The sequence below is a fragment of the Homo sapiens genome, chromosome 5 (genome assembly GCF_000001405.40).
Source record: "Homo sapiens chromosome 5, GRCh38.p14 Primary Assembly".
NCBI lineage: Eukaryota > Metazoa > Chordata > Mammalia > Primates > Hominidae > Homo > Homo sapiens.
In genome coordinates, this window is record NC_000005.10 from 136,375,354 (window position 1) to 136,396,765 (window position 21,412).

General features: G+C 37.9%; 1 long non-coding RNA gene and 1 pseudogene across 1 annotated transcript, besides 1 other annotated feature; both read right to left on the minus strand.

The window, feature by feature from the left end:
- Window positions 1–688: 688 nt before the first annotated feature.
- LOC124901075 (uncharacterized) lies at window positions 689–21,107 on the minus strand. Its single transcript, XR_007058948.1, has 2 exons — window positions 20,975–21,107; window positions 689–1,253 (listed from the first exon to the last, which is right to left on the minus strand). It is a non-coding gene; the product is annotated as an uncharacterized LOC124901075 (long non-coding RNA).
- On the minus strand, window positions 5,571–6,158 carry HSPD1P18 (heat shock protein family D (Hsp60) member 1 pseudogene 18; annotated as a pseudogene).
- Window positions 6,394–7,225: an enhancer, noted in NCBI's record as "OCT4-NANOG-H3K27ac hESC enhancer chr5:135717435-135718266 (GRCh37/hg19 assembly coordinates)". NCBI's record gives its function as "activates a minimal SCP1, AML or CMV promoter by ChIP-STARR-seq in naive and primed H9 embryonic stem cells {active_cell/tissue: H9 hESC(naive and primed)}" and the evidence as "EXISTENCE:reporter gene assay evidence [ECO:0000049][PMID:30033119]".
- Window positions 21,108–21,412: the final 305 nt, after the last annotated feature.

Consider the following 21,412-nt stretch of genomic DNA (forward strand, 5'->3'; position numbering starts at 1 on the left):
CTTCAGATCCTACCTCAGCTCAGAGACTCACCTTGCCTGAGGTCACATTCTTGCTGAGACAGCCTGTGTCGGTGACTGAGTGAAGGGTGTGTATGCTGGGCATTTTGGCTTGACATAGGCACTCTTAATGATCAATGGTTACTTCACAGTGCCCTGTTAGGTTGACAAAATTTTGATCAGGCCTGCCTTCTTCTGCTGCCCAATCCCACTTCCTCCCTTTTCTCTTCCTCAGTGATAATTACAAATAAACAACTTGAACTATAAAATCCATCTCTGCATCTGTTTCCAGATTACTCAACCTGCAGCAGATGGTCTTATAGGAATGTAGAAAATACAAAACAAATTGGAAATGGGTGAAAAAGAATAGATCAATAATAGGGAGAGGGACATAAAATTGCTTGATTTAAGCCAACCCATATTTTCTTAGTCCTACCTACAGGCTATAGACAGCCTCCATGTTTTCTAGAAGCTGGAGTAAAACAAAACAAGCCAAGTGATCAGTGGAAATCCTCTGACCAGGTAAAGAACAATGATTCCTCATCCAAGGAGCAGATTTTGTTTTTTTCTTTTTCTGGGAAAGGACACTGTGTAATGAAATGAACAACCTTAACAATTAAGTTGTGCTGCATGGTTAACTAGATGGCTCATTGCTGTTTGTTACATTTATTTCAAATGGAATTACAATCAATCACGTTATCCCAAGCAGGTTTATTGTTTGTCATTCACACTCCTTAGGCTCTGGATCAGTGGCTATGTATTAGTCATGGGAACCAATTATCCAAGGGTGTTTGGTTAAGATGGTTTTATTGGTGCTGGAGCATGCAGAATGACAATGACTAATGGTGTCCCACATACTATCATTATTTACTTCGTCCTCCCGTGTGCCAGGATGTTTTTGCTTGAGCTGACTTGTTTCCCTTTTTGACTCTCCTTCCTGAAAATCATGATACCATCCAGTGCAGAAGAGGACGCTGGCGTGTAGAAGAAGAGAGGGAATAAGAGCAGAAAAAGTAAGTGGAACACTGAAGGGCCTAGAGAGTCCTCCAACTGCAGAATTCATTCTTGAATCACTGAATCGCAAACTAGCAAGGTGTTTGATTTTGAACCCTTGATTTTCTAAGAGATTATACAGATATGCCACTGGTACAGATAAGCTACTGGTTTCCTTTACAGGTTCCCTTGAACCCTGGAGGTTGCAGTGAGCCAAGATCACGCCACTGTGCTCCAGCCTGGGCAACAGAGTGAGACTCAATCTGAAAGAAAAAAAAAAAAAAGACATCACCAAGGGTAAAAGAGAAATTTTTTTTTTTTTCTGATTATCTAAACTCCTGCCCTCCTGCCTTCACTGTATATGGCTCATTATTTTTTTTGTTTGTTTCAATTTTATTTGATTTTCTTTAATTGTTTTTAAACAAATTTGAAATTTTTTCATACAATTGTTTTTAGTTTGATTTGAGTCTTAGTCTTTTGGATGCTCTGGTTTCTGCAGAACTAATTCTATTTTTTAAAAAATCTTCCTAGCTTATCTCTACGCTCTTGGTTTCCTCAATCCTTCATAAAACAAATACACATAATAAAAGTCTTACAGATTCAGATTATCTCTAGGAGAGATGGTTGGAACTAATGGGAAGACTGTATTACAGTCTATCTTTAAACCAATATATACCTTTCTTATTCACTTAGAGATATTTGTCTACTAAAGTGTTAATGAGTTGCATGATATCTTCTGAGAATTTCCTATAATGAGAAGATAAAGAACACTCTTCTTCCTTTTTTTTTTTTTTCTTGAGATGGAGTCTCACTCTGTTGCCCAGGCTGGAGTGCAGTGGTGCGATCTCGGCTCATTGCAAACTCTGACTTCTGGGTTCAAGCAATTGTCCTGCGTCAGCCTCCTGAGTAGCTGGGATTACAGTCACCTGCAACCACGCCTGGCTAATTTTCATATTTTTAGTAGAGGAGGGATTTCGCCATATTGGCCAAACTGGTCTCAAGCTCCTGACCTCAGGTGATCCACCCACCTTGGTCTCCCAAACTGCTGGGATTACAGGTGTGAGCCGTGGTGCCTGGCTCTTTTTACATTTTTTGTTGAGTGTTCTGCTGGTTCTTTGCCCTGAGAGAAGTCCCCTCTCTTTTCCACACATCTCTGTTACATTTTGCCAGAAGGCTAAACTCTAGGATGCATTTCTCAGGCTCCCTTATCAGTTGGCTTCCATCTGGGTTTTGCCAATGGGAATCGTTAGTGGGAGATTGGTGGGCAGAAGGAAAGGAGGCATCTCTACACCTTTCTCCATAGGTAGCTAAGCCGCTGGAGCTCTGCTATGGCTTCAGATCTCATTGGATAGACTACCATGATTTTAGCATTTGCTTGCTGGGCCCAAACCCAGGACTTCAGGAACATTTTTTTCCTGCCTTGGATACTTTAGCCTAGAGGTAACAGTGGTTTCTTGTCACTGCCAATCTGTGGATTGGCCCATTGCTCCCTGTTTGGCATCTCAGCTCATCCATCACACATAGAACAAATTCCAGGCCTCAGATTCCATCTGTTTTGGAAAAAATGGCTTAAAAGTAAATGATGTTAGGACAACTGGATACTCATTTGGAAAAAAAGTAGTTTCATGTCTTGTACCAATCACCAGAACAAACTCCAAATGAATCAGACAACCAAGTGTAAAAAAATAACCCAAGTAAGTCATAGAAGAAAACAGGAGTGATTTCTTTCTTGAACTGGGCATGGAGAAACCTTCAAACTATAATCCAAAATCTAGAAATAACAAAAGAAAAGATTGATAATATTAATTACATAAAAATAATAAAAATATTTTTACATGACAAAGCACCACATGCAAAGTCAAAAGACCAATGATACAGCAGGATACTTCTCTTATGATAAAAGACTATTTTTTCCAAGAAATAAAGACTTTTTTTAAAATCAAGAGAAAACTGCAAAATAGGATATAACACGGAAAAAGCCGCCTAAATAGTTCACAAAAGACATTGGAATGGCTCTTAAATACAGAAAAAATATTCAGCCTTAATCATAGTAAAATACAAATTAGAACATTAGAAAGAGACCATTTCTCATCTACCAGATTGGCAAAAAGTTCAAAATTTAGATAACACACTTGTCAAGGTTGTGGAAATTTAGATACTTTCATACTCTATTGGGAATGCAAAAGAATATAATCCCTCTGCAAGGGATTTGACAGTTATCTAACAAAACTATATATACACTAATCTTTTGACCAAGGAAGCCCACTTCCAGAAATGTTCCCTGAAGACACACCTTCACAAATATGAAACAGCATATGTGCAAGGTTATTCATTAAGAAATCCTTTGTGATGACAAAATATTACAGTCAGTCTAAATGATCACCCAAAGGAGAATGGTCTAATTAAATATTATACTCCACACTGTGGTGTATAATACAGCTCAGAAGGAAGGATAAGGAAGCTCTCTGTGAATCCAGGATATATTGTTTAATGAAATAAAGCAGGTCTCAATGGAGTGGACATAATAGGCTATTGATCATGTGAGAAACAAGGGGAAATTGCTTATTCTTAGAAAATGAAACAGAAAATATAAACCAGCAATTAATGAAAATATTTACATACAGGGTGTGTAAAGACAATATAGAGGGTAGAGGAATATATGAGATTTCTCTTAGCAGACATTTTTATATAATTTTAATTTTGGACCATGTAAATATTTTAAATATTCAAAAATATAATACAAAGATGAAAAGACAGCCACTAAGCTTGGCAACAGAAAATAAAAACAAACTCGACTGCATATCCAGTTGACAACAATCACACAGAGAAAATAATTGAGTCAAGTAACTTTTGAGCACAGGGCTTTGACTGTACATGCTCAATAGAATATATTATAAAGTCAAAAAGAAACACAAATAACTACTGACATCTACGTAGCAGGTTTGTTCTTGGTAGTGGCATGGGTGGTATACATCTAAAACTGTGTGTTTAATAGGATAAAATAAATGTGTAAATATACTGATGTTTTGGTGAAGCAAGGTTTTTACTTTCATAGGTGAGGACAAACTACATAGGGTTTTATTTCAACCAGAGGGTTAAGGATGAGATTTGCATACATAGATAGATGGAGAGATAGACAACACAGACATACCTGCGAACTTCCTAGCTCTGTCTGCTGAAAGGACGTCTAAGCAAAGCCACTTTAATTGCAGCAAGCACAATTGGCACTTAGATCTGGATTGCTAAATACCACTCACTACTAAAGTACTCCTTAGAAAAATGACTATTTCCAGACCCAGAGCAGGGAATTTACAAGGTAAGACTGAAAAATCTCACGTCAAAAGGCAAGTAAGTGCACAGAGACTAATGGGTTCATTAAAAAGAAAAATACAAAAGCTGTCTTGGGACAAGTTACACATCAAAAAGAATGATGATAATTGATTACAACACATTGAGTAAAAACTGAATTCATAACAATAAGATGAGAGCCAGGAGAAAGGCTCTTTTAATAAAATAATGCTAGCTGATAAACGTACATGGAATAATACAATTATAAAATTAGCACTTTCAACACTAATGTAATAATTGATTCAAACAAGAATGGTCAGTGAATGCCAAAACCATTGAGTGAAAGGTTGCAGAACAGGATATTTATGTGGTCTGAAAGTATCCCCCCAGAGATTATTTGGGGGTAAAAGGAAAAGTATACTTTTACAATAGACATATCTTCATAACATTATCTTATCATCCTCCTAGCATAAGTAGATTTTTTTAGTTGGGCACCCTTTTTATTCATAATATTAGTAATTTGTGTCTTCACTTTTTCTCTGTGATTAGTTTCAGTGAATGTTTATCAATTTGATTAATTTTTAAAGTAATTTTTTACTGCTGTTTTTCTCTCTTTTGTTTCAGGTGGGGGAAACAGAAAAATGTACTTTTACAATGGACATATTTGATATTCCACACCTTAACTAATTTCTACTCATATTTGTTATTTTCTTCTTTACATTTACTTTGAGTTTAACTTGTAGCTTAGCTCACTGACTTGAGCATTTCCTTCTTTTTGACTATATCAAAGTTATAAATTTCCCTTTAAGCAATGCGTGGCTGCATGTCACAAATTTTGAAATGTTTTCAATATCATTCAGTTTATTTCCTACTTTTTTTATTGTAACTTCTTTGACCTCCTCTGGATTATTTATATATGTTGCTTAATTTCTAAATATCTGGAGATTTTCTAGATACCTTATTTTATATATATATAATATATATAATATATAATATATATACACATATGGACAGAGAGAGAGAGAGAGAGACGGAGTCTCACTCTGTTGCCCAGTCTGGCATGCAGTGGCTTGATCTCAGCTCACTGCAACTACCGCCTCCCAGGCTCAAGCAATTCTCCTGCCTCAGCCTCCTGAGTAGCTGGGATTAAAGGCATGCACCACCATGCCCAGATAATTTTTGTATTTTTAGTAGAGATGGGGCTTCATGTTGGTCAGGCTGATCTCAAACTCCTGACATCTTGATCTGCCCGCCTCGACCTCCCAAAGTGCTGGGATTACAGCCGTGAGCCATTGTGCCCAGCCATTACTATTAATTTCTAATTTAATACTGATATAGTCAGAGAACATCCTCCATAAGATTTTAATCCTTTGACTTCTTTTTTTCAGGGATGTACAAATGTCTTTTTATTCAAAGAGACAAAATAAATTATCTGTAGGCATGGACAACAACAGTGGTAAGCCATTATATATTTTGTCAACTGAAACCAGTAACTGATGGTTACAGTGATTTCTTAAACGTCAGCCAGCCTTTTCTTCATTTTCTCCAACCGACTTCTCTGAAGCTATTGGTGAGGCACACTGCCTTGGGCTTCCTGCCACAGTTCATTAATAAAGGTAAAGCCCTATTCTGGGAATTAGAACATGCCACCTCCCATCCACCTCCCATTGCACCCATTGCACCCATTCCAAGGCCTGTCTCTTCTTTAGGAATTTGTGTGACTGCAACTTGTGCTGCAGTTAACAGAGAGGCCACCCCAGCAGCATCCAGTAAAGCAGGTCTTACAACCTTTGTTGGGTCACTAATTCCTTTTTCCACCATATTCGCAAAATCTTCAATATAGCATCATAACCAACTTCTGAGGAACTTTGCATGATTTTGACATTTTTGATAGTTGTTTTATGGTTCCACAGATGGCCTATCATCATGCATGCTCCAAGTGTATTTGAAGATAATATGTATCATGTAGTTATTGGGAAACTTGAATCTAGTGAGAAAAATAACAGATGTATCTAGAATCTGATTTATTCTATAGGCCTGAAGTCTTTCTAAAAGTCAGTGTCATAAAAAAACAGACAATACACAAAAACATGCAGACTTGCCTAGGTTTAAAGTGACAAAAGAGGCAGAACAATCCAGAAAGCATATGAACCTTAAATGGCTACTGGATTAGAAAATAAAAAGCAACAAAAGATATTTTGGGACAGCTGAAGAAATTTAAATGTAACAGACAATATTATTATGCATGTAATACCCCTAACATACAGAACATCATAGCTTAGACCAGCCTACCTTAAATGTGCTGAGAACACTTACATTATCTGACAGTTGGGCAAAATCATCTAACACAAAGCCTATTTTATAATAAAATGTTGACTATTTGATGTAATTTGTTGCATACTGTGCTGAAAGTGAAAAGCAGAGTGGTTGCATGGGTACTGAAATATGGTTTCTTCTGAATGCATATTGCTTTCCCACTGTAGTGAAGTCAAAAAATCCTAAAGAAAACCTAGTAAGTAGGGGAGTATTTACATTTCAAAGAGATGGCTTCCGGGTCCTTGAGAAAGACATTCTAGGGTTGTAAAACTGGTAAGAAGCTTTCAAAAAGATTTACATCTCAAAGGAGCAGAGAAAGGATCTACAAATACAAGTTTTCTAAAGTAAATGCTCTAAGAAAAGGGAAGGAGGGCAATAGAATCAGGAAAAAGCCTGTCTAAGGTTTAGGAAATGGGGGAATGTTAAGGCCCTCTTGGTCATGACAATACACATTTACAGAGGTTTGACTGAGAGATGTGAGACTTGTGTCTGGCCTTCCGTAAAATTTCTAACTTTCATTTTATCTGCTCATGATTCTAGACAATTTTTTTTTTGACAATGCATGTGTACTTTTCTTCTGCTCACACACCTTTTTTCTTCCCACCTTTGTTCTGAAGAACATTTCCTTTTCCTTTTCTTTTTTTTTAATTCCAGCCTATGATTTTTATTTTTTTAATTTTTTTCCCTTTAACTTTTATTTTAAGCTCTGGGGTACATGTGCAGGATGTGCAGGTTTGTTACACAGGTAAACATGTACCATGGTGGTTTGCTGCACACATCATCCCATCACCTAGGTATTAAGCCCAGCATCCATTAGCTATTCTTCCTGATGCTCTCCCTCCCACAGCAATCCTCCCTCAACAGGCCCTAGTGTGTGTTGTTTTCCTCCCTGTGTCCATGTGTTCTCATTGTTCAGTTCACACTTATAAGTGAAAATTGTCAGGCCTCTGAGCCCAAGCCTGCATGTATTCATCCAGATGGCCTGAGGCAACCGAAGAACCACAAAAGCAGTGAAAATGGCCAGTTCCTGCCTTAACTGATGACATTCCTCCATTGTGATTTGTTTCTGCCCCACCTCAACTGATCAATTAACCTTGTGACATTCCTTCTCCTAGAAAATGAGTCTCAGAACTTCCCCACTGAGCACATTGTGACACCCTCCCGCCGCCCCTGCCCGCAAGAGAAAAACCCCCTTTGACTGTAATTTTCCACTACCTACCCAAATACTATAAAACTGCCCCACCCCTATCTCCCTTCAATGACTCTTTTTTCGGACTCAGTCTGCTTGCACCCAGGTGATTAAAAAGCTTTATTGCTCACACAAAGCCTGTTTGGTTGTCTCTTCACAAGGATATGCGTGACAAAAATATGAGGTGTTTAGGTTTGTTTTTGTTTTTGTTTTTGTTTGTTTTTTGAGACAGAGTCTTGCTCTGTCACCAGGCTGGAGTTCAGTGGCATGATCTCGGCTCACTGCAACATCTGCCTCCCAGGTTCAAGCGATTCCCCCGCCTCAGCCTCCTGAGTAGCTGGGAATACAGGTGCATAAAACCACTCCCAGCTAATTTTTTGTATTTTAGTAGAGAGGGGCTTCCACAATGTTGGTCAGGATGGTCTTGATCTCCTGACCTCATGATCCACCTGCCTTGGCCTCCCAAAGTGCTGGGATTACAGGTGTGAGCCATCGCGCCCGGCCAGGTGTTTGGTTTTCTGTTCCTGCATTAGTTTGCTGAGGATAGCTGCTTCCAGCTCCATCCATGTCCCTGAAAGGATGTGATCTTATTCTTTTAATGGCTGCATAATATTCCATGGTGTATATGTACCACATTTTCTTTATCCGGTCTATCACTGATGCACATTTGGGTTGATTCCATGTCTTTGCTATTGTGAACAGTGCTGCAATGAACATACATGTGCATGTATCTTTAAATAGAATGATTTATATTCCTTTGGGTTTATACCCAGTAATGGGATTGCTGGGTCAAATGATATTTCTGCCTCTAGGTCTCTGAGCAATCACCACACTGTCTTCCACAATGGTTGAACTAATTTATACCCCCACCAACAGTGTGGAAAGTGTTCTTTTTTCTTGGCAACCATGCCAGCATCTGTGGTTTTTTGACTTTTTAATAATAGCCATTCTGACTGGTATGAGATGGCATCTCACTGTGGTTTGGATTTGCATTTCTCTAATGATCAGTGATGTCAGCCTTTTTTTTCATGTGTTTGCAGGCCACAACATTTCCTTTTTTCAAGCCAGTAGTTCTCTTCTCTCAATTTCTTTCTGGGCTTTTAGTATTTTTCTCTTCCCTACTCCTTCCTCATTTGTGAGGGTAGAACATCTATTGATTCCCTTCTAGATCTAATTCTCTGTGGGTCTCGGATTGTCTCTCAGTGTCTACCCAGGAAAAAGTGGGGCTACACTAATGTAATGAAGAGTCTGGCTCATCTCACATTCTCATAAAAGGTGATGATGATTGAGAAGATTTTCTGTGACTAGTGCCACAGGAGCACTTAGGTTTTGGAATTTAAAAAAAAATTACACCTCTTATTTATTTACTATTTTAAAATTTATCATTTTATCACTAACAGCAGAGAAAACTGGTGACAGATAGGAACTCTGGAATCAGTCTCAGATTTGCAGCTTACTGTGTGGCTTTGAGCAAGCCAATGAATGTCTCTAAGCTTTAGTGCAGTTACTTGCAAAAGAGGGGACCTAATCATTAATACCACCCTTAACAGTTAACTGGGTTAATGAATGTAAAGCAGTGAACCTAGTGTCAGGTACTTAGTAAATGATCACCATTTTGTTGGAAAAATCCTAAGTCTTTGCCTATATGATATCAATGGCTGCTTTGAGCAGATCTGAGGTGACATTTTCTTAGGCAGGACATCTGGTCACTTCCCTCTTGTGCTAGATCTGCCCTCAGGAATAGATGTGATACCTTTGTATTTGTCAACTTAGCTAAAACTGCATTGCCCAGATTTCCTTTCCCTGTGGAATTCTAAGTCAGTTGGGCGGGCCACAAGAGGCATTTCACAGGAGATGTAGCAATGGAAGTGAAGCAGCAGCCAGATTCCAGATGCCCAGAAGGTCAGGGCAGGTCACGCAGTGCTGTTGCACCCCATGGCATGCTGTCCTATACAGCAGCTGATCTGCTGGCTCACCTCCAGCTCCTGCTGCATTTTTGCCTGCCACTTCTCTGACTCTTGGACCAGGTGTGTGCTTAGTTCTGTGATGGAGGGTGCCAGCTTCCCCTGCAGGACACCTCCATTGAAATAGAAGGCTTGGAGGCAGTGGGTACCAGTCCTTTTTAGCTCATCCTCACAGATTCCCTTTTTTCCTTCCCCCATTTCATATCCATCTTCTCTTCCTAATGGCCTTGGCTGAGAACTGCTGACTTCAGTACCAGAAACAGGTGGCATAGCTTCATATAGACTATTTAACCAGCTATACCAATTGTGTAAAGTCAAATCCCTTAATGTATCTCTTAGTATATCTAATCTGCTTTAGTGGTTTTGCTTCCCTGAGTGAATTCTGTCAGATACAATAGATAATGAGTTTTATCAGAGTATCTGCATAGCTCAAGGTTGGCATCTCTCAGTTCCTAGGTTAATTCAGTAAAAGATGACCCTTTCCTGATTAATAAGAAATGGGATTCTGTATCTTGGCTTTTAAGTTCTTCTTTCTGGTGGAGCGTGCATGCACACACACACACATATATGTATTATATATGTTTATGTAACACACATACACACACACATACACGTACATATATGTTTCCCATTTCTAACTTCTTTGAGTCAGACTAATCGTAGGATGGTGTTTTCTTTCCATCAACAATTGTAAGCTATAATGATAGCTTTTCCTAATGTAGTGACAAAATATCACATAACTTTGCAAATGTTACTTTGGTAATTTCTAATACAGGCATTGAATGATTTATAAAAGCAGTGTGTGCTACACTGCCAATCTTCACATTTTAAATATAACATGCAAAAATAGTACCTTTTAAAAGATAACATACCCAATATAAAATAGAATACAAGGATGTGGGTGGAAATGCAAGCTCAGAGAGGCAGCAGATTGTAGTAGCTGAAAATGTAGCGTAGGACCAGGCTGCCTGGAGTTTTGATTGTTGGGTCTAAGCTCACTAATGATGTGACCTTGGGTGATTACGTGGCCTCTCTGTGCCTCAATGCCTCATCTGCTGCACTGGGGCATTATTGGGTGGTTGTGGTAATGAGGTGAGGAACATAAAGTGTAGTGCATCGCACAATGTAGGCATAAACTTTGGTTTGATTGGACTGGATGCTTTTTTATAAAGAGAAACTGTTGATTTCCCCACTCCATGAGGGCCAGGATGAGGTCCATCTACTGCTGGACCCCTTTACATGATCACTGGAGGAGGATGCTGTGGTGGCCCACCCAGACACTCTACAGGATGCAGGTTCTTATGTCCACAGCTGCTGCAGTAGCACCTGCGGAAGCTCACAGCTGAGTCCCTCCCCAGGAATTGCCTTGGGCCAAAGGGATCTGCCAAGGTTTAGGTCCCCCTAGGGGAATGTCCCTATCCCATGACTAATGGACTTGGGGATACAAAGGCTGTACCCCTTTGTCTCAATGTGGGGCAACTCTGAAAGACAATGCCAGCTACAGTGTTCCACATGGGCTGGGCCAGCTCAGGGCCTCTGTTGTACATGCTTCGCAGTTCAATCCCAACTCTTCCCTCTCTCCAGGCCTGCTGCCCTCACTCCTGCACAGGTGGTGCTCCTGAGAGCGCTCCTGGATAAACCCCACACGGAGCTCCATCACCAAGCCTGTTAGAGGCCACGGCGAGAAAATTTTTTGGGGGGGTGATGGGTATGTTTATTATGTTGGTTGTGGCAATGGTTAAATGGGGGTGTATATATATCAAAACTTGTGAAATTGTTTGATTTAAATTATATACAGTTTAGGTCAATTATACTTCAATAAGGCTGTAAAAGGGAAAAAATCAGAGGAACAGTGGGAGGAAAAGGTGAAGGGCTCTTTGGTCACATCCCACCAGTGGTGCTTGTCTAACATCTTGTTTACGTTGTTAGATATGAGTTCTAAATTTCTTTTCAAAGAATATGTCAGTATGTTCAATTCTTTACCTTCTACTTTTAAACTTAACTTCCTCATAAAGCAATCTTTTTTGATTACCTGCTCCACCCTGACTCATTTCAATCACCTGCTCCACCCTGACTCATTCCGATTACCTACTCCACCCTGACTCATTACCTGCTCTGTCATAACCATTTTTCCCGCCAAACCACTCACCCCCTCACTCTCTTTAAATTAGCCAATTGGAATTAGTTTAGCCTGTGCGGTCTAACCCTAGCCAATAGGGGAACCACACAACAGCGGGAAGTGGGGGGTGGGGGGCACAAGCGTCAGGGATAAGAACCCGTTCCCCTCCCTTGTCCAAGTGTGCGCTCACCATTGCTCCCTCTGTAAGGGTTCACCCTTCTACAGAAGTACCTTGCCTTGCTAAGAATGAAAAAGAATTTTTTTTTTTTGAGACAGAGTCTTGCTGTGTAGCCCAGGCTGGAGTGCAGTGGCTCAGTCTCGGCTCACTGCAAGCTCGCCTCCCGGGTTCAGGCCATTTTCCTGCCTCAGCCTCCCGAGTAGCTGGGATTACTGGCACCTGCCACCACACCCGCTAATTTTTTGTATTTTTAGTAGAGTCCGTGTTAGCCAGGATGGTCTCGATCTCCTGACCTTGTGATCCACCCGCCTCAGCCTCCCAAAGTGCTGGGATTATAGGCGTGAGCCACCTCATCCGGCCTTAAAAAGAAAATTTTATATTCGAGTGCTATTTCTTTTGTGGCACTGAAACTTTATATATAACAACATGTTTCTCTTTATACTGTTCTCTTGCTTATGAACCTTTTTGCTCAGCAAATTCAAGGTCTTCTTCAGTTCTTCCTTCACTCATATATTCGTATAATCATTTGTTCTCTCGGGCAGACATTCTCTGAGCATTCTCTAAGCCCAGATCCTGTGATAGGCACTTGGGATACAAAGACGAAAATGAGACACAACCTCTCTCCCTAGTGAGTTCATGATCCTATAGAGGATTCTGAACCACAGACCATTCCAGTGTCTAACCTTGACAGTCACAACCCTTCATAGTTTGACTTCAGCCTATGACGCTAGAAGAAGCACATCGTTATGGAATAAAATGAGACAGATACAGAATGAAATAAAGAAGGAAACAGTGATCAGATCCCACTGTCAACTTACAGTGTTTTTTTAGTTATTTTATCACAAGCTTTCCTCCCACATCACCAAATCTGTGAGGATATGATTTTGACCAGGAAAACTATATTTTGTTATGTGAACATGCATGTTATATTTTAACTGTTTTCCTCTGTGGCATCTGTTTGGATGCTTCACCCCTGTGTCTTTGGCATTATTGCCAGAGGTGCCTGGATAAGTCCTATGGTGCATTCATGATCTGTGCCCTTTTCAAGTTCCCTGGATGCTATCCCTCCTCCATAATTCCTGCTAATTTGATTGTATGCAACACTTTCCATCTTTTTGAACTTTGTTCCATAAAGCACCTCTTTCTCTTTCTCCCTTTACATTTTTATGCCATGATATGAAGAGAGCACAAAACAGTGTGAGGGCCACAGCAGGAGAGGAGGAGCTGATGCCTCAGCCAGCACAGGGAAAAGCCATTTCACATTCCTTTGCCCCATAGTGGTATTCAGCATTTCTCTGGCAAAAAGAGGCTTGCCCTGTTAGCCTTCTTTAGGGTCAGCAGGCAACTCAATGAGGCATGGCTGGATTTCTAACCCAAGTCACTTTGTCGCTAGTTCATCAGCACTCCACGCATCCACAGCTCCGCACCCATCCACAAGAGACTTCAAAGGATTTCAGGCTGGGCACAATGGCTTATGCCTGTAATCCCAGCACTTTGAGAGACCGAGGGAGGTGGATCACTTGGGTTCAGGAGTTAGAGACCAGACTGGCCAACATGGTGAAACCCCGTCTGTATTAAAAATACAAAAATTAGCCAGGCATGGTGGCACACACCTGTAGTCCCCACTACTTGGGAGGCTGAAGCACGAGAATTGCTTGAACCCTGGAGGCGCAGGTTGCAGTGAGCCAAGATTGTGCCACTGCACTCCAGCCTGGGCAACAGAGCAAGACTCTGTTTCAGGAAAAAAAAAAAAAAAGGATTTCAAGCAAGAAACTAAAAAATCATTAGTTCATCCCTTTGGTAAAAGGTGGCCAAATCTGAATTACCTCTTTAAACGTTTTAAGCAGGGAAATTGAAAAAGGAATCTCCTTGGCGTCATGAAGATCTAAAGAAACCAAGTGTAAGAAACTCAAAGAGAGTTACTTTGCTTGGCCACTTCTACTGCAAGGTTGTCTTTGAAACTGAATTAGCAGTTCAGATTTGAAAAGGATGCCATGTGCTAGGAAAGAAAACCTAAGAGATATTCACTTTGTAGTGCTGAGAAACAAATGTTAATATGATCATAATAATGAAACAAAATTAAATTAAAAAACTCAATAAAAATAAGACCTAAAACACCCCCAAATATTAGATATTTCTGTGTGGCCATGCTTTATGCCAAGAGCTATGTATTATCTCATTTACCCCTCACACAGCCCTGTGAGAAAGGCATTTTCCATTCTAAATGTGAGCACACAGTGCCACTGAAAACCACTCACTTATCCACGGTCCCACAGCCAGTAAGTAAGTAATGGAACTGGCATCCCCATTGGGGACCACTTGGCTCCCCAGCCTACATTGTTAAGTATTTTATTTATTCTTAGGGGAAGGGTCATCTCCTGGGTCTCTTTCCAAGAGCTTGGCAAGCCGTGAGAAATTCTGAGAGTGACAAGTATATATTTTTAAAAGCTGTCATTTGGCCATTGATTTCTAATTTTATTGCCTTGTAGTTAGAGAGTTCAGTGTTTGGTAACAGTTGCTTGGTTAAAGCTTCTTTTATGGTCCAGAACATTGTCAATTTTTGCAAATTATCCATGTGTGCTTGAAAAGAATGTTTACTCTACTTGTTCAATATGTCTGCTAGATCAATATTGTTTATTTTGTTCAAATCTTTTATTGCCTTACTTTTTTTTGCTGGCTTGATTTGTCAGTTTCCTAGAGAAAAGTGTTAAAATATCCCACAGTGATTGTCTCATCAATTTATTCTCTCAGTTCTAATTTCCCTTATATATTTTGAAACTGTGTAGTTGCATTTATATTGGATCAGGACTGTTATCTGTTTCTGGTGAATTTTTTTCTTTCAACATTAAGACCCTATTTTATCCCTAAAAATACATTTTGCTGTAGTATGCTTTAATAGTATCACACCACCTTTCTATTAGCATTTTCTTTCATTATCTTTCTTACTAAACTTAATATAAAAAGCAGATTTCTGTGTGTGTCTTTGTGTGTAAGAACTGTGTTTTGCTTGGCTTTGGTAATTCAGTTAATTCTAAAATTTGTGCAGAATAGTAAAAGGCTGATGATGTCAAAGAAATAAATCTCCTCAAAACATCTCAAAGAAAAATATGATGGAGGGGATTGGTCTAACAGATATCAAGATTTATTTTAAAGCTAAGAAATAAGTAGTGAGGTATTAATAGATGGATAAAAAATAGGCCAATGGATCTTAACAGAAATAGATTTCACATACATGGGAACTGAATTTCAGATGAAGTTGTAATTGCAGATCAGTGGAGGAAAGGGTGAGCTTTTCAATAAATGGTACTGGGGCCATTTACATATTAAGTATATATACTTGGATTCCTTCCAAAAATCCAACCAAAAGTTAAGGTGAAAAGTTCAAACCATAACAGTTTAGGAGACAAAATAGAAAAATAGGTTATGATCTTGAAGTAGAAAAGTATATTTTAAAATAGTAGCAAAAACTCCAAACTACAAAGAAAAGGTTGTTCCATCTGACTACAGTAAAATTAAACAATTAAAACTGTTAAAAATAAGGTTATAAACACCAAGAAAATGAGAGAAGATATTTATGATACTTGTCTCTGAAAAAGAATTATTACCTAGAATAGATAACTCTCTCAAAAGAATCAACATAAAAATGAACAAAAGGTATAAATTGGTATTTCACAGAAAGGGGACCTCAGATGGCCAATACACATATGAAATGATGATTAATCTCATTAGTAATCAAACAATTACAAATTAAAAAGCACAATAAATACTATGTTTCATCCATCAGTTAGTAGCATGAAAATATCACATTTCATAAACAACTTATAGTACATTATGACCTAGCGATTTCACTCCTAGACATATAATCTAAACAAACGATTGATTTTGTATACCAGGAGGGTTGTTTAAGACTTTTCATAGCAGAAATGTCTGTGTTAATAAGGACCAGAAATATCCCAAATATCTATCAACTGGAGAACAGTCAAATAAATTAAGTACATCACGGAATACTATACAGCAGGGATTCTATATCCCTGTGATGGAGGTGTCTCATGTGAACCCATGTTCCTGTGGAGGCCATGTCCCGTGCGATATTGTATCTCTACAATGGCTGTGTCTTGTGTGACTCTGGCAGTAGCTTCCCTTCTGCTCTGCCTATTTGTTTCTGGCATTTGGGAATTTCCTTTTCTTTCCTTTATATTTAGCTTTGAATTTTATATTTTGTGAAGAATGTTTTACCAAGCATTTCTGTGACTTTGTGGCAGGAGGAGGCCTCTCTGCATCAACAGTGTCACAAGAAGCCACTGTCTGCCATCTGTATCTATTCTGCCTGTTGCAGGATTCAATGCTTTGCCAAAATCATGTTGCTTTGCCCAAGTTTAGCTGTTGTCTCTACCAGCAGACAGGAATGGATTCTTCATGAAACCCTTTTAGAGGCCTCTTTTATTTATAACTTTGTTCCTCTTGCTCAGAAAGGACACAGAAAAATTATACAATTTAGAAACATAATTATTTCTGCTCTCTTTTAGATCTAGCTCTGTCATTTCCATACCAGTCTGCATGATGACTTATCACAATAAAGGCATTTTTAAGTCTTTTCTTATGTTAGCTATCCTGGTGCATCTGAAGACTCATCCTCAGCAATTCTAAAGGACTGAATGCAGACTTGTGAAAAGGGACCAAGAATGATTGCAGGGGTATTCTGAAGCTATGTTTGTAAAGCCAAGATCTGAATGAAGTCATAAGGCCTGAACATTTGGGCTTTTCTTTTCCTCCTCCTCCCACTTCTCGTCTTCCTCCTTTTCTCTTTTTTCTTGTCTTCTCTCTTCTTTTCCTTCTCTTTTCCTTCTTTTTGCTTTAATGTTACTTTGGTGTGCTCTAAAACTCTTAGAAAAGGCTAAACAATAGAACAAAACCATCTGAAAATTATGTACATTTAGCGAGACTAAGGAAGCATTTTTGAGGCATCTTAGGATAAATTCCATTTGGTGTACAAAATTGACAGAGTTACTATTTTTCACTCTGAAATTAGCATTTCAGACAAAATACATTTCAGAGTAAGAAATATTAACTGGAATAAAGAAGGTAGTTTTATAATGATAACGAGGTCAACGCATCCAGAAGACATAACAATCCTAAATGTTTATTTACCTATAACACAGCTTCAAAATAGGTGAAGCAAAAACTGATAGAACTGCAAAGGGGAATAGACAAAATCATAAGTATACTCAGAATTTTACTAGCCTCACTCAGTAATCAATAGAACAAATAGGCAACAAATCATCAAGGATATAGTAGCCTTGATCAACACCCAACAAACATGACTTAATTGATATTTATACAGCTAGTCTCTCAACATCAATGGAATACACATCCTTTTTCAAGTGCACACAGAAACATTTACAAAGATAAACTATATACCTAGGCCATAAAACAAGTCTCAATAAATTTAAAAGTATTCCAAGGATCACAATGGAATTAAATTAGAAATTAATTATGGAAAAATCTCTGGAAGATACTAAAATGGTTGGAAACTAACACACTTCTAAATAACACATGAATTAGGCAAAGACCAAAAGAGAAATTAGAAAGTATTTGAAATGAATTAAATGAAAACATAATGTGTTATAATTTGTGAGATGCTGCTAAATAAATTTAATGCTATTTATATCACTAAAACACTATATTAGAAAAAAAGAAAAATTACAAATCAATGACCTCAGCTGCCACCTTGAAAAAAACAGAAAAAGAAGATCAAATTAATGTATGAGGAAAAAAGAAAATAATAAATTTCAAAGCAGAAGTCACTGCAACTGAAAAAAGTAATAGAGAAAAATTATAGTGAAATAAAAAGCTTGTTTTTTGAGAAGATAAAGAATATTATATTTGTAGCCAGACTTATGGTAGTGGGAAGAAGAAAACAAATTGTCAGTATCAGGAATAAGAGCGGTAACATCACTACAGAATCTACAGCTATTAAAAGTCGAATACATGAATAGTATTAATAACTTTGTGCCTATAAACTTCACAACTTAGATGAAGTGGACAATTTCTTTGAAAGTTGAATGTTTAAATTACCCACATTCATTCAACAGGAAAGTCGAATGTTGAAATTACCAACGTTCATTCAAGAAGAAACAGATAACTTGAATACCACTACCTAGGATACTAAATTTTTAAGTTAAAACTTTAATATAAATAAAAGTCAAAGTTCAATGTCTTTCTGATGAATTCTACCAAAAGTTTTAGAAAAAATATTACCAGTTTTACACAAACTCTTTCAGAAAGCAAAAGGGAACACTTTCTAAGAAGTTTTATGAGGCCAGCTTTAATCTGATAGCAAAACCAAAGAAGGTCATTATAAGGAAGAAAAACTACTTATGAATATACATGTAACCATTTCAAACAAAATTTTAGCAAATTGTTACCCCATAATATATAAAAAGAGTAATACATCATGATTATGTTGGTTTTATCCCAGGAATTCAAAGTTGGCTTAATGTTAAAAAATTAATGTCATTCATTATATTCACAAACCAAAACTGAAAAAGCATAAACAACCTAATATATGAGAAAAAGTATTTGACAAAATCCAAAATCTGTTCTGTCAAAAGCTTTCCTCAAAGTAGAAATAGAACACAACTTTCTCAATTGAAAAGGTATCTGCAAAAAGCCCTCCAGCCTTAAAATTTGCCAGGCATAGTGGTGTGTGCCTGTAATCCCAGCCACTCGGGAGGCTGAGGCAGAACTGCTTGAACCCAGGAGGCAGAGGTTGCAGTGAGCCGAGATCACACCACTGCACTCCAGCCTGGGTGACAAGAGTGAGGCTCTGTCTGAAAAATACAAAAAAAGAAAACAAAAAAACAAAAAAAACCTTCAACCAGAAAATACTTGATGATGAAAGACTGAAAGCTTTCTCCCTAATGTCAGGAACAAGACAAGGATGCATGCTTTTATCATATCTTTTCAATATTGTACTAGATATTCTAGCCAGTGCAAACAGGCAAGAAAAAGAAATGAAAGTATGTATACTGGAGAAAAAGTACAGCTGTCTTTATTTAGAGATAATATTATTATCTTTGTAGAAAATCCAGTGGAATATATACTACGGATTTCAAGACTTACTATAGAACTAGTATGGTATCAATGAAAAGATAGACACATAGAAAAATGGAGAATAGAGACTCCAGAAATAGACCCACACACAGATGGAGAACTGATTTCTGACACAGATGCAAAGATAATTTTGTGAAGATACAGCAGTCTTTTCAACAAATAGTGTTGGAACAATTGGATGTCCATATGCAACAAAACAAAAACAAACAAGTAAAACAACTTTGGTCCTAACTCACGCATGCAAAAATTAACTCAAAATGCATTACAGACCTAAATATAAATCTAAATCTATGAAACTTATGGAATAAAATATAGATAAAAATCTTTATGACCTTGGATTAAGCAAACATGACTTAGATATAACACCAAAAGCATAAGCCATAAAATAAAAATATTGATAAACTGGACTTCATCAAAATTGAAACTCCTGCTCTTTGAAAAACACTGTAAGAGAATGAAAGCATCTGAGAAAAAAATAATTACAAAGCCTGTGTCTGATAAAGAGCTTATATCCAGACTATATAAAGAACTCTGAAAACTCAAAAATAAGAAAATACAGCAAAAGACTTGATCATATGCTCTGATGAAGAAGCTATATGGATGGCAAAATAAGCACTTGAAAAGATGATCAACATGATGAATTGTTAGGGAAGTGAAAATAAAGACCAAGATGAGGTACCACTATACACTGATTATAATTGGCTAAAATTAAAAAGACCAACCATATCAAACGTTGGTGAGGATGGGGAGGGTCTGAAACTCTCAAACACTGTTGGTAGGAATGTAAAATGGTACAACCACTTGGGAAAACTGTTTGGTAGCATCTTCAAATGTTAAACATCACCTACACTATATGACTCAGCCATTCTGCTCTCAGCAGTAGAATTTACATGACAAGAATAAATGTATATACATATAAAAGCTTGAATTCAAATGTGTAAAGCAGCTTTATTGGAATAGCCTCAAAGTGGAAACGACCCAAATATCTATCAACAGGCAAAAAGAGAAATATACTGTGCTATATCCATACAATAGAATACTACTCAGCAATACAAATGATCAACTATGGATATACATTAAGATGTCTCAAAATAGTTATGCTGAGTGAAAAAAATCAGACAAACATACAAACCGTATGATTGCATTTATCTAAAATTCTAGGAAATTCAACTAATGTAAAGTGACAGAAACTAAATCAAAGGTTGCCTGAATTCATAGGTGAGTGGTGGGGAGAGGTAAGAGAAAGATGCAGGAGGTAGCTTTGGGGGAACTGATGTATGCAGGTTTATTTTCTTGATTGTAAAGATGGCTCATGAGTGTATACATGTCAAAACTTATGAAATCATACACTTTAGGGAGATGCAGTTTATCATATATCAACTAGACTCAATAAAAGTATTTTAAAACCCCAAGAGATGATTTTAATCCTCAAGCTCATGAGGAAATCAATGTTCAGAGGTTATTTTGCTTAGTGTCATGTAGGAAAAAAAAACCCCAGCTTACGTGCTGCATCTTTTAACTTAATCCTGATAACAGTTCACAAAGGAGTATATTACATGTCCCATTTACAGAAGAGAAAAATGAGACTGATGAAATTTAAGTAACTTGCCTGCCATCACATAATTTGTGGTTCAACTAGGCTCTGACCTATATCTAATCTGATTCCAAGGTTTATATCTTCTTACTACTGAGCATCTTGGCATCTTTGAACTCTAGACATGATCTCTGAGTCCTTATACTTTAAAAAAAGATGGAAGGAAAGAAGGAAGAATGGAAAAGAGGCAGGCAGGCAGGAAGAAAGAAAATCACTGCTGTACCTTGAGAATTCCTTCTGAAGCAATGCCTCTGGATTTACCCAGAGGAGGATGTCTGACTCTCCCCATCCACCAACAGCAGATGATGAATGATGTTTGTGTGTGCACAGATTCTACCTGGTATTCCAAGATTGTGAACAATTTCCCCTGCCTAACTACAACCCCAACCTTTCCCTATCATTGTAGAAAGCATTTTAGAATGTGGGTTATGAAAGTAAAGCCTTGTTAATTTGACTTTATAAAAGTAAACAATTTATAAACATTACTAATTAAAAATAATAGATAACATTTATTGAATGCCAGATACTCTGAGTGCTTTGTGTCTATTGTCCTATTTAATCTTCATAATTCCTAACAGGCAGGTATTAATATTATCTTTTTTTTTAACAAATGAAACTGAAGCTCAAAGAGGTGAAGTCACTTTCCCAAGGTCATGCAGCA